This window comes from Homo sapiens, chromosome 2 (assembly GCF_000001405.40).
Source record: "Homo sapiens chromosome 2, GRCh38.p14 Primary Assembly".
Classification (NCBI taxonomy): Eukaryota; Metazoa; Chordata; class Mammalia; order Primates; family Hominidae; genus Homo; species Homo sapiens.
In genome coordinates, this window is record NC_000002.12 from 196,297,232 (window position 1) to 196,311,844 (window position 14,613).

At 37.9% G+C, this 14,613-nt stretch overlaps 1 protein-coding gene across 12 annotated transcripts in view; it reads right to left on the reverse strand.

Moving 5' to 3' along the window:
- Positions 1 to 14,613, reverse strand: part of HECW2 (HECT, C2 and WW domain containing E3 ubiquitin protein ligase 2) — a 399,483-nt gene that overhangs the window by 103,160 nt on the left and 281,710 nt on the right. For all 12 annotated transcript variants that reach the window (NM_001348768.2, XM_006712646.4, XM_047445197.1 and 9 more), the window contains 3 exons: positions 10,704 to 10,854; positions 9,899 to 10,002; positions 9,257 to 9,381 (listed from right to left, as the gene is read on the reverse strand). In NM_001348768.2, coding sequence (NP_001335697.1) covers positions 9,257 to 9,381; positions 9,899 to 10,002; positions 10,704 to 10,854 — 380 coding nt within the window. The remainder of the gene's footprint in view (positions 1 to 9,256; positions 9,382 to 9,898; positions 10,003 to 10,703; positions 10,855 to 14,613) is intronic.

Genomic DNA, 14,613 nt, shown 5'->3' on the forward strand with positions numbered 1-14,613 from the left:
AGTTATTCCTTCTCAATTCCAAAAATCCCTGTTCCAACTTCCCTCCTGGTTGTTTCTCATCGTCCTAGCAAGAAATAAGCACTTGATGGTTGAGTGAATGATCAACTGAATTTCTTGAGTGGAGTTTTGTTAAATAACACTCCTTAGAACTTAAATGTGTTTTTGTTTGGTTACATGTTTGTTTGAGGTTGTAGAAGTAAATGTCATTGCCATTTGGCAGCAGAATAAGAAAATTACATGCAAATACTTAGTTCTTGTCAACCACAATGGAAATAATAATCAATCCCCTCTCCTTTTTTTGCAGGTTTTCCTTAGTGTTATGATGACCAAATGTCCTAGATTACCTGGCCCAGTCCTAATTTCACCTAATTCTGTTGTTTTCAAAACATAGTTAAGTACATTACTGATAAATAAAGTCTTTCTTTCATATTTCAGAAAGCCTTCATCAAGAATAGGCATTCTGAATTCAGGTTTGGAAAAGCACGTCACCAAATCTATAGCAAACATCTCTCATATTCACAAGGGAGCAGATTTGAGCACTTGTATACATTATTCACTAAACAAAATTTAATATATACAAAATCAAGAAATGTTTGCATAATATGTATGCAGAGATATCAAAACAGTCCTGTTTTATACAGTCTGTCTTCATAATATTTTTAATTTTACAGGATTTACATTGTTCTCATCTAGCTAGAGTAAAATGGAAGGGAATTTTCACATTAACAAAACTATCTACAAATGATCAATTCATCTATTTTGCAATAGCAGGAATTCCCAAGTTTTAAGAATATACGTATGGATTTTGGAACAGTATTTTTCTTCATTAAGTACTAAGAAACTTAAACGCTAGAATTAATGTATTTTTAGAGCTCATTAAAAGCCACAGTAGTAATTATTTGGCACGTATGTTGGAAAATTATTCAGTTGAATATAATGAAATATATTTATGTATGACATTAATTAGACAAATATAGGCACATCAGCTATAAAAGACATGGCACTAATAACTAAATCTTGAATTAACAAGAGAAATCGTTTGTCAGGACAATTTTGAAAGAAATCTGATCACAACCATTAGAGGGCAGTAGAATAATTCCTAAAGCAACCACAATGCAAAAAAAGAAAGAAAAAACCCACAAAATTTTCTTTCTCAAGTTTTACTTTAGTGTTATGACAACCATATATCTATTTAACACTTTTCTTTCCAGTAAGGATTACTAGGTATTACAACTACACGTAATCTATTTTTCTTTTTTTTTACATTTATTATTTTTTTCTTATACTTTAAGTTCTCGGGTACATGTGCACAACGTGCAGGTTTGTTACATATGTATACATGTGCCATGTTGGTGTGCTGCACCCATTAACTCGTCATTTACATTAGGTATATCTCCTAATGCTATCCCTCCCCACTCCGCCTACCCCATGACAGGCCCCGGTGTGTGATGTTCCCCTTCCTGTGTCCAAGTGTTCTTCTCATTGTTCAATTCCCACCTATTTTTCATGACTTTCTTTCAACATAAACTGATACCTTCAAGTCATAAAAAAATAGTTAGGAAAATTATTAAATACATTCCTTTTGCATATTGAACATTTTCAATAATACGAACAGGGAAGTAACTGAAAGAGGTATAGATCATAAACAATTCTAGCAAAAAACCCTAGACAATAAATCTTAAAATACAGAAATCAAATAAAAGTTTATTTTATAACATTTTCTGTTAATCTAGGAAAAAAGAAAACATTCCAGCAAGTAATGCCCTTTAGAAAAAATTGTCTGAGTTATCTCCATTAATTCATACCTTGAGACTTCTAGCAAGACAAATTCAGCTACTTCAATATTTGCCATATATAAGTCAGGAAAATAATACTTCCTAAACCCACAGAATTTAAGTCTTACAGAAATGTATAAATGTACAGCATGGATCATCTTTTTAGCTAATATAAATGCAGTTCATAAGAGGAAGAAAAAAATTAAAATGCTTTAGAAAGAATACTTTGAAATCAAGATAGACTATCCAGCAAAATAAATTCTAAAATCATGCCCAACTAAAGAAAAAGGAAACACGATAAAAACACGAAAACAAAATAAGTTAAAAAAAAAAAAAGCCTGTAAGCTGCTTAGTATTTTCATACTGTTAAAACATGTTAGTTGTCAAAAGTCCAGGAGAGTTATAGTTGTAACAAACACGGTAAGGACATTTAATGCAAAATCTCTTTATCCTAGGAGTTCCCAGACTACAGGCCACAGTTGTATCAGAATCACTTAAGGGGCCTAAAACAAAACAAAGCAAAATAAAAACAGACTGCTGGGACCCACTCCAGACCTACTGAACCAGAATCTCTAAGATCTGGGTACCAAGAATATGCATTTTATTTTTTAAAGTCACCAAGTTTAAAAACCACAGCCTTGGGCCTGGCGCAGTGGCTCACGCCTGTAATCCCAGCACTTTGGGAGGCCGAGGTCGGCGGATCATGAGGTCAGGAGATCGAGACCATCCTGGCTAACATGGTGAAACCCCGTCTCTACTAAAAATACAAAAAATTAGCCGGGCGTGGTGGCGGGCATCTTTGGTCCCAGCTACCCGGGAGGCTGAGGCAGGAGAATGGCGTGAACCCAGGAGGTGGAGCTTGCAGTGAGCCGAGATGGCGCCACTGCACTCCAGCCTGGGCGACAGAGCGAAACTCTGTCTCAAAAAAAAAAAAAAATTCCCGCAGCCTTATACCACAACTCAGTGACTATTTATCCAGTCTCTACTTGAAACAATGCAGCGATGAGGAACTTGTATGAAGACGGCAGCCCAAAGAGAGAAGTTAGAACTCTGTGCTTCATGATGTCATTGGTGGTTTGACATTGGCCATAGTGGGCGTATTAACACTACAGAAATCAGGAAATGCAATATCAGGGCTTGATTTATTGTTCTGTAGGCTGTCTAGACTGGGGTGGGCAATCTACAGGCCCAATGGCTAGCTGTCTGTGTTTGTAAACAAAGCTTCATTGGAACTCAGCCAGGGCCATTTGCTTACATGTTGTCTTTGGGCCAAAACCCTAAAATATTTACTCTCTGGCCCTTTATAGGAAAAGTTTACTGCCTTTTTCTTTACTTAAGGTCCAGACTTAAGAAATTAATGGAGAAAATTAGAATGCAGATGAAACTTCAAATTGTGCTGTTACATTGCAAATAGCACAAACACACATAACATGAAGAAATGTAAGTCTAATATTCAAAAACTATTGACAAAGGAATATGAAACTCCAACATGTCTCCCTTTTACACTGTTGTCTTTACTTGTTAATGCAAATGAAAATATTCTTGTTGGAATTATACTTGTTCTTCAATTACCACTGTAGGTAGCAAAAATCAACAAAAGCATTCAGTGTCTCTTTTACTATTATTTGTAAATTATAAGTCAGGAAGTGTGATGCCTCCATCTATACATATATATCTATATCTATATCTATACACATATATACATATATCTCACATGCATATATTTATACACAGACATATATGTGTGTGTATAAACACAGCCTACATACACACAAATATACACACACTTTTTTCTCCAGAAAGCCAGTGGTTAAACATATACTAGAAAACTCATGAACACTACCATGCAATCAGTTGCTCTTTTTTTTTCTTCATCTTTTAAGTTCAGGGGTATGTGTGCAGGTTGTGCAGGTTTGTTACATAGACAAATGTGTGCCATGGTGGTTTGCTGCACAGATCATCCTATCACCTAGGTATTAGGCCCAGCATCCATTAACTATTATCCCTGATGCTCGCCCTCTCCCTACCCCACCCCCGACAGGCACCAGTGTGTGTTGTTCCCCGCCAGTGTCCATGGGTTCTCATCATTCAGCTCCCACTTACAAGTGAGAACATGTGGTGTTTGGTTTTCTGTTTGTGTTTTAGTTTGCTGAGAATAATAGCTTCCAACTCCATCCATGCCTCTGGAAAGGACATGATTGCATTCCTTTTTATGACTGCACAGTATTCCATGGTATATATGTACCACATTTTCTTTATCCAGTCTATCATTGATGGGCATTTGGGTTGATTCCATGTCTTTGATATTGTGAATAGTGCCGCAATGAACATACATGTTCACGTATCTTTATAATAGAATGATTTATATTCCTTTAGTTATATAACCAGTGATGGGATTGCTGGGTCAAGTGGTATTTCTGGTTCTAGATCTTTAGGGAATCGCCACACTGTCTTTCACAATGGTTGAACTAATTTACACTCCCACCGAAAGTGCAGAAGCATTTCTTTATCTCTGTAACTTCGCCAGCATCTGTTGTGTTCTTACTTTTTCATAATGGCCATTCTGACTGGCATGAGATGACATCTCATTGTGGTTTTGATTTGCATTTCTATAATGACCAGTAATGTTGAGCTTTTTTTCATGTGTTTGTAGGCCACGTGTATGTCTTCTTTTGAGAAATGTCTATTCATATCCTCTGCCCACTTTTTAATGGGATTGTTTTTTTTTTTTTTTTCTTGTAGATGTGTTTAAGTTCTTTGTAGACTCTGGACATTAGACCTTTGTCACATGGACAGACTACAAAAATTTTCTCCCATTCTGTAGGTTGTCTGTTCACTCTGATGATAGTTTCTTTTGCTGTGTAGAAGCTCTTTAGTTTAATTAGATCCCATGTGTCAGTTTTTGCTTTTGTTGCAATTGCTTTTGGTACTTTTGTCATGAAATCTTTGCTTGTGCCTATGTCCTGAATAGTATTGCCTAGATTTTTTTGTAGGGTTTTTATAGCTTTCAGCTTTACATTGAAGTCTTTAGTCCATCTTGAGTTAATTTTTGTATATAATGTAAGGAAAGGGTCCAGTTTCAATTTTCTGCATATGGCTAGCCAGTTCTCCCACCACCACTTATTAAATAGGGAATCAATCCTTTCCCCAATGCCTGTTTTTGTCAGGTTTGCTGAAGGTCAAATGGTTGTAGGTGTGCAGTCTTATTTCTGAGTTTTCTATTCTGTTCCATTGGTCTATGTGTCTGTTTTTGTATCAGTACCATGTTGTTTTGGTTACTAGTATAGTTGTAAGTTACTAGTATAGTTAGAAATTACTAGTATAGCTGTAAGTCAGGAAGTGTGATGCCTCCAGCTTTGTTCTTGTTGTTTAGGATTGTCTTGACTATTCAGGCTCTTTTTTGGTTCTATATGAATTTTAAAATAGTTTTTTCTAATTCTGTGAAGAATGTCAATGGTAGTTTAATGGGAACAGCACTGAATCTATAAATTACTTTGGTCAATATGGCCATTTTCATGATATTGATTCTTCCTATCCATGAGGATGGAATGTTTTTCCTTTTGTTTGTGTCTTCTCTGATTTCTTTTTGAGCAGTGGTTTGTAGTTTTCCTTGAAGAAGTCCTTCATTTCCCTTGTTAGCTGTATTCCTAGGTATTTTATCCTTTTTGTAGCAATTGTGAATGGGAGTTAATTCATGATTTGGCTCTCTGCTTGCCTGTTGTTGGTGTATAGGAATGCTAGCAATTTTTGCACACTGATTTTGTATTCTGAGACTGAAGTTGCTTATCAGCTTAAGAATCTTTTGGGCTGAGAGGACTGGGTTTTCTAGATGTAGAATCATGTCATCTGCAAACAAAGATAATTTGACTTCCTTTCTTCCTAGCTGAATACCTTTTATTTCTTTCTTTTGACTGATTGCCCTGGCCAGAACTTCCAATACTATGTTGAATAGGAGTGGTGGCAGAGAGCATCCTTGCCTTGTGCTGGATTTCAAGGGGAATGTTTCCAGCTTTTGCCCATTCAGCATGACACTGGATGTTGGTTTGCCATATATGGCTCTTATTACTTTGAGGTATGTTCCTTCAATACCTAGTTGATTGAGAGTTTTTAACATGAAGCGATGTTGAATTTTATCGAAGGCCTTTTCTGCGTCTATTGAAATAATCATGTGGTTTCTGTCTTTAGTTCTGTTTATGTGATGAATCACATGTATTGATTTGCATATGTTGAACCAACCCTGCATCCTGGGGATAAAGTCAATTTGATTGTGGTGGATAACTTTTTTGATGTGCTGCTGGATTCCAGTATTTTATTGAGAATTTTTGCATCAATGCTCATCAAGGATATTGGCCTGAAGTTTTCTTTTTCTGTTATATCTCTGCCAAGTTTTGGTATCAAGATGATGCTGGGCTCATAGAATGAGTTAGGGAGGAGTCCTTCCTTTTCAATTTTTTGGAGTCATTTCAGTAGAAATGGTACCAGCTCTTTTTTGTATCTCTAGTAGTATTCAGCTGTCAATCCATCTGATCCCGGGCTTTTTTTGGTTGGTAGACCATTTATTGCTGCCTCAATTTCAGAACTCATTATTGGTCTATTCATAGATTCAATTTCATCCTGGTTCAGTCTTGGGAGGGTGTATGTGTCCAGGAACTTATCTATTTCTTCTAGATTTTCTAGTTTATGTACATAGAGGTGTTTATAGTATTCTCTGACACGGTTGTTTGTATTTCTGTGGGGTCAGTGGTAATCTGTCCCTTATCATTTCTGATTGTGTTTATTTGAGTCTTATCTCTTTTCTACTTTATTAGTCTAGCTACAGTTGCTCCTTCTTGAAGCCCTTTTTTCTCCTATCCCATATTCCAATCTATTAGCAAGAATGTCATCTCTGTCTTCAAAATATATCCAATATTCATCCATTTGTCACCGTCTCTACTGCTAACTGCGTTAGCCCAAGCCACTTCCATGCCTTACCACAGTAGCTTTTCACTTAGTCTCCCTGATGCCAAGCTTGCCCTCTAAAACCCATTCTTTGCATAACAGCTAGAAGGAACTTAAAAAACTCTAAATTACTCCCATATAGAAAACCCTTTCAGAATAAAGCCCAAATACCTTGCCAGATCATGCAAGCCCAACCTTCTGTAGCCCTGCACGCTTCCCTGACCATATTATGTGCCACAGAAAACTCATTCCTACCCCTGAGTCTCTGCACTTCCTTGGCAAGGCAGGTTCTGTTCTCAGACATTTACCTTATCGGCTTCTGGGCATTTTATGACGGCTTGAATGTGGCTCCCTTGGAAAGGCCTTCCTGTCCACCTGATCTAAAATAGTGCCTCCTTGTGAGATTTTGAGATTAAAAAATAAAATAAAATAAAATAGTGCCTCCTCCACCTCATCCCCAAGTAACTCTATCCCAGTGTGTGGTTTCAGTTGCCTCACACCACACTACAGTACCTGCATTATCTTTTTTATTCACTAGTCTGTTAACTATATTCTACTCTGTCTTATTTACCACTCTATTCCCAGAGTCTAGAATGTACCAGGCAAATCACAGGCATTTAATAAATACTGATTAAATGAAGGCATGAACAAATGAACAAAAAACAAAGGGGAGCTTGTGCCTTCTGACTCCAAGTCTGAGTCTCTTCCTATTAAAGCATGATTTTTTTCTGTGTTACAGTGACAACTCTAAATGTTAGCCCATTCTGCCTTGCATGAAAGCCTGTCACCTCCTAGAATTGTCCCATATATGAGTTTAGGTTTGTGTAGCCTAGCTTCTGTATCCCTTCCCAGGCTCAAATCTGACTTTCACTAGTGTCCTATGTTCTCAATACACCAGCAACACCGAATTGCTTACAATACTAATAATCCAGTTTTAGAACTTCTGCAGTAATTATCAAGACAGACTTGCAGCTTCACGAATCGATTGTTTTGCAAATGATGCTTCTTCTACCTAGAGTACTCCTGCCCATCTTGTTTCTGGGACAAGCTCTTAATCAGCCTTTAAAACTAATCTCAAATCCAAACCTGTCTATGGCCCCTTCCATGTGCCTTCCCTTTGGAGTTAATCGTCCACTCCAGCAGTGTATCTTCTATAGCCATCCATTATTGCACTTGTAATTCTGGTTATGACATTATAATTGCTCTCAAGTCTGGGATGCCAGGGCCCACAGTTGCTGTCATCTCTGTATCCCTAGGTCTTAGCTCAGTGCCTAGCACATAATCATCAACAAACTTGCGAAGCTGAGTGCTCAGTAAATCTAACCCCTCTCTCATAATATATGAGGATAGCTAGCATGTTATTCGTTGCTTACTCTCCTCCCAAGTCTTCTCTGCTCCAAGCTAAACCTGTAAACCAGGAGACAATGATGAGGAAAGGCAGACAGATGTTTATACTTGTAAAGCAAAGCTAAAGAAGGCAGAAAAATATTAACATAAGTAAATATGTATTAATATATACTAATTACCTCACCACATACTCCTGGTGATAGGACTATGTTGACTTTTATTTTTCTCTATGATCTACTCTGTTTTTCTGAAAGTGTAGGATATGTCTTGTTAAATTCAATATGTTCTCCTTCAATTCCTTTAACAAGTCCCTCATTCGAATTTTCCTAGTATTATTAATTATGTATTGTTCATTATTTATGTATTATTATTATTAATACTCAAGGTCAACTTCTTCAGTTTCTATTCTGCCTACTTACCCACCAAATCTTGTCAACTCCCTGTCTGCGATTCCTCTCATGCTGAATCCTTTTTGTCTATTTTCTTATATCCTAGTACAGGTTCCTATCAACACATGCCATGATGAATGGATTATATCCTGCTAGACTTCTATGGCCAATGTTTCCCTCATTCTAAATCACTTCATGTGCAGTTAAAATGACCTTCCTTTAATTACTATCTTCAGTAAGCCACTCCCTCAGCCCTCGGAGACTCGTGGAATAATCCTTTAAATCCTCCTGTTATGGGTCCGATGTTTGTGTCCCCCAGAGTTCATATGTTGAAACCTAATCACCAATATAATAGTATTAGGAGATGGGGGCAGGAGGTGACCTAAGAGGTAATTAGGAATTAATACCCTTATAAAAGAAGCCTGAGAGAGCAAGCACCCTCCGCCCTTAGACCATATGAAGATGGAGGGAGAAGATGCTATCTACACACAAGGAAATGGACTGTCATCAGACACCATATCTGCCAGTGCCTCAATCTTGGCCTTCACAGCTCCAGAATCATGAGAAATAAATTTCTGTTGCTTATAGGCCACCCAGCTTACAGTGCTTTGTTATAGCAGCCCAATGAACTCAAACGGTTTCTTTGGACTAAACCGGTTAAAGTGTACAGTGCTCAACACAAAGCTTGGAACACACTAAGTGCTCTGGAAACATTCGCCATTATCATTCCTGCTATTACTACAGAAACAACGATCATTTGCTTTGGCCTGCTGTTTTCCTTCACACTCTTTCAGATTCGCTACTCACAGGGTTAGAATGCAGCACGGTGAAGAACTCTGGGCTGATGAGGAACTTCACGGGGGGAGACTGTAACAGCAACGTGATCCTGGATCTGGAGGTAGAGTGAGGCAGGATGTTCTCCCGTCGGAAATCTAGATGGGGCAGACCACAGAGGCGGTCAGGGAAATCTTTCTATGATGTGAAAACTATCTACTCACTTCAGTCTGCATTTCAAAAGAATCATAGGATACCTACATCATGTGTCATCATTTTAATCCCCCAATGCTTTTTTCTTTGCTGTAAATTCATACATAAAACATGGCTGTTCTTAATTACACTAAAATTCAGTTAAGTAATATTTCTAGTTACTATGAACATTTTAATGCATTCTTACGTATTTTAAATGATCTGATTCTTTTTCCAGTATCCCACAGATCAAGAAATTAAAGAAATTTATATTCTACTTGGGTTTTGTGATTCCTTTCTTTATATTAATTAAACATTGAGGATTAGAAGAGGTTTCTGGTGAATTCTGTTTTTTGAGTTGGATTACCAGATCTTATTGAAGAGCAAAAGTTCTCCAAAAGAAAAGCCTTACTTGTTGGGAATCCTTATTTGCTTCTTTTTCCACTTTTATGAAATTACAAAAACAAAGCCCAAAGCTCTTACCTGCACTGGCTTGGTGAAAGTCAGCTTCCTCCCCTGCCCCATCAATAGCATTGGTATTTTCCTCAGGCCTCTCATTGGTCATGGTTCTGCGGATACTCTGATATCTAAAATCATGAGCCTAGAGTTACATTCCAGCAGCATTTAAGAGATGGGACTCAACTGCTCCCCAAGAGTCTAGAACTTTTCACTATCTTCTCAGCTTCAACTATTTCCTCCTCCAACCCCCATTCCCTGGACTTCTTGGCCACCTGCTGTTTAAATTACACTGCATTAAATTTCTTCTGTCCATTGTTTGGGGAACATCTTCCTGGCAAATTAATAACACTAAAAAAATTCTGTGGCCCTTAACTAAAGAAAAGTAAATTCCTATATTGTTAAAGGAAAAAAAACTTTATGTTCCACAGCAATTAATTCTTGAAAAAGAATGACTCATCTAAAAAGCTTAGGTTGATAATAATGAGAAGCCACAAATAAAGATTCTAGAGACTAGAAAAGATGTTTGGCTTTAAATAACAAATGTATATGTTCTGCTTTAGTAAACATCAATGCTTGGGCTGACTAAAGGGGTCACATTTATTTATTTGTTCTCTAGTTTCCAAACAAGGTATATATGTGGGTGAGTATTATTATTTTTTTTTAATCAAGAGAAGTCCAATTGAAGTCTGGGAATCAAAAGCGGTAACAGCTACACTTTAACGACAGGACACACAAAGATCAAAGAGACAACCATGTCTTCTACTTTGTGCCAAGTAAAAATTAGCCCAACCACAAAATACAACAGTCACAGCAAAATGTTCATCCTCACCGCCGGTTCAGCTGCTCCATTTGCTGTATGGAGTTAGATCTCTGCAGCACCTGCGGGGCTGGGGGAGCTGTCGGTCGCTGCCACGTCGTGGTTCTGTTTACGTGATCCACGTAGAAGATCCTGCCGTGGCTGTCAATGCGTGCCTCCCAGTCTAAATGGCAGTGAGGCACCGAAAGGAATTAGGAGGAGGAGCTGAGATGATTAATAGGGTTCATTAAGTTTGGCATGTGTTTTCTTTCTCTGACATGCTATAATCTGAGACTAATAACATACATCTCACTGCACTATCCCATACTTCTCCCCAGTTCACTCCAGAATCTGTTGTGACTGATTATTTAGCCTATCCTGTGCATATAATACCAGTCCCTTAAATAATCTTTAAATGTAGAGAATCTTTCCAAATTTGCCCACAGTGCTCACCCTTCACGTATGAGCCCCAGCATTTTAAAAATATATGTAGTTGGTTTCATAACACTTCAGATATTCACGTCAAAATGGGTATTGATGTTTATTTTCACCAAAAAAACCTGATTTCTCCATGTCTTTTCTAGCTTCAATGAAAGCCTCATAGCTGGAGACTTCCACACGCATATTCATGCACAATTGTAGTAAATTTAGTCCTCAGAAAAAAATAACTAAAATAACTATGCTCGCCTAGTGATGAAACAGTATCATTATCTACAAACTTCTATTTGCACTTTTCCAAAGATGACTACATTTTCAGAGCAAGTGCAATTTCTTGCTTCCCAACCTCAAATAAACATAACGTTTTAAAAGATTAATTTTATTTTTAAGTGTGTTAAATCTTTCTAGAGAGATATACAAGTGAATGTTCAGAAGGCAGATTGGTCTTCAGAGTCAGACACCCCACCTTTGTGACTCTCTAAAAGGCCATTCACCTACTGAAATCCACAGAGCATGAGCTGATCTTTTCAAAAGGCAAAATTTTGAAACTTATTACAAGTGTGAAGGGTAATTTGCACAGGAAACATGAAAACAGCAGAAATCTATTCTTTAACCAGGAAAATTCTTTGTGCATTTATATTTTTGTGTAAGTTATTTTTTGAAATTAATAAGCATTTTTCTCCTGACACATTCAACTATCCCAAAACTGTCCATGTGATCACATGCTTATCAACAGACACAGTGGGGCTAATCCTGGAGACCAGAAGGAGGGCATATTTTCTCCTGACCACCTATGGCATTTGCTCTGTAAGGGAACAGGGTAAGTATCCCAACAGAGTCCTTAGGGTTGGAAAGACCTGCATGGTAGAGCTCAGCCTGCACCAGACCATTGCTGAAGGCCATCACCTCAGCTAGGAGCAGAAAGACATCTTTTGTTGATCTCAGCACATTGTAATTTATGACAAATGGCAAAAGAAAGAGGAATTGGGCTGAACAAAAGCACCACACAGACAGCAAACAACTCAATGCCATTCATGTTCCAAGGTAACACAGACTCTACCATGAAACACCCTGCCAAATCTGAATTCTTTGGGCACTGCAGTCCCATCAATAAGACATTTTCAAAAGACCTCACGCCCAGCCTGTTGATATGCTCACAAATAGCAAGTACATTAAAGCATCTTCAGGAACCATTTTTCAAAACACTTTGATTTATTTCACTGTTTTGCTCTGCTCCTTGCATGCTTTTCCATCTCAAAAGATTTTGGGAACCAATTACCCCATCTCATTCCTTTCTCATCGGAGTCAGGGTAATTCAGGCACATAGACATCAAATCAAATACACATGAAAAGAAATGACCAATTCTTCTCCAAAGAATGTTTACAGTAGTCCCAATTTTAAAAATGTAGAATAGGTCAATTCAGGATAAAAAAATAGAGACCAACTAGACCAGCTAAAGGAAACAGAGAGAGAAGATGCTGCCAAACTCCCAAGATTAGATTATTACTAAAATTTGGCTCTTAATTTTCTGGCAGTTATGGCAGAAAAGAAAACATATTGTTGCATACTTTCCATTTTCTGACAAAAACAGTGAAAGAAATTCTCAAAGATGGAATTTTTTCCTGGAACTAACAAAGTAGGAATTTACCAAGTGAAATATGACTATGGCTTGCTTGAGGTCTATATGTATAGCAAAATGGCTAGGTGGAAGAGAGAACAGCCAAATTAATGTGTCTTGCACATAGCATGTAATAAATGAAAAAATAATTTAAAATGACACAAAGCCACAAAAAAGAATGATTCTTGTATTCATCTTCTACAAAGGCCAGTAATAGCCTTAATTTATAGTTCAATAAAGACCTTTCAATGTGCAATGGGGAGAATAAGAAAACAAGGACCAAAAATTTGCTTTCTAAGGTCATGGAACACTGAACACATATTAAAATTATCCCTATCAAATACTGTATCTTCACACTGATGTAATTACTCAAGACCCCATAAAGACAAATTCTATAGTGCCAATTTCAAGTGAATGCTTGGCTCTGAATCAGGAAGGGCTGTTATGCTATTGGTTTATCCATGAACTACATATCCACTTCTACCCACGCTGTCAATATCATTCTACCCAGGCAAAGGCAGCAGAGGTGCCTGCAGGAAGGTTAGCTCTCTGTTGTATCTATCAAAGTTACTTTGCTGGGTACAACTGCTCCAACATCTTATATGTCTTTATATTGGGCCTGGTTTGTTTTTGGTATAAGAAAGCATATGAAAACTCATTTCATAGCATCAAAGTTTCTTTCAGATAGACAATGCTAAAATGAGATAGGCAGAGTTAGAAGGCTGAGGACTTAACATTTACTTCCTTGTCTTGCCACATTGTCAAATATGTTATATAATCAGGGTGCAGTGAAAACGAGAGCAACGATTTTGTGTGTGTGTGTGTGTGTGTTTTGCACTGAATTGGGAGGTAGAAGGCCTGATTTCTGGCTGTGGCTTGACACACTTTCACTACAAGACCTTAAAAAAAGTCACTACACCCCTATGAATCACAGTTTTGAAAAATTAGAGGACACAATCAAACAATTGCAAAGGTCTCTTCCAGTTCTAGTATTCTAGGAATCTATAAAATTATGCCCATTTTATTATATTAAGTTCAGCAAGAACCTAGTAACATTTTATGTCTAGGCTAGCCTTACAGGGCCAGGAGATTTGAGTCCCTGAGGGACAGGGCTCCACAAACACCTGACAATCCTATTTTAGCCATGACAGCTCCAATGTTATTGCTGTGTATATTGGTGTTCCACATAATATTTCATTTGCATAAATAGCTTCATGACAATAATAAGGTTTGAAAACTATTACCTACAGAAATGTTTCTCAAGGTAGGTGGACTCTGACAACATGTGCCAGAATCACTTTGAGGATCAATAAAAATGCAGATTCCTATGATGCACCCCAGGTCTTCAGAATCAGACTATCTGAAGCTAGGGCTCAGTTATCTACACTTTTAACAACCTTCTCGGCTTATTCCTAGACACACTAAAATTTGAGCAACACTGACACAAATTAATAAGAACTTAAAACAGTAGCTAGTTTGCTGAACAAACCCATGAGGCAAATGCTAGATTTCTCAGAGACCATGAAATGGGGGCTCACAAGAAACTAAACCTCAGCGGCCGGGTGCGGTGGCTCACACCTGTAATCCCAGCACTTTGGGAGGGCAAGGCGGGCAGATCACCTGAGGCCAGGAGTTTGAGACCAGCCTGGCCAACTAGGTGAAACTCTGTCTCTACTAAAAATACAAAATTCAGCCAGGGGTGGTGGTGCATGCCTGTAATCCCAGCTACTCAGGAGGCTGAGACAGGAGAATCACTTGAACCCAGGAGGCAGAGGCTGTAGTGAGCTGAGATCACGCCACTGCACTCCAGCCTGGGTAACAGAGTTGGATTCCATCTCAAAACAACAACAACAACAAACAAACAAAACCCTAAACCTTGCCTAAAA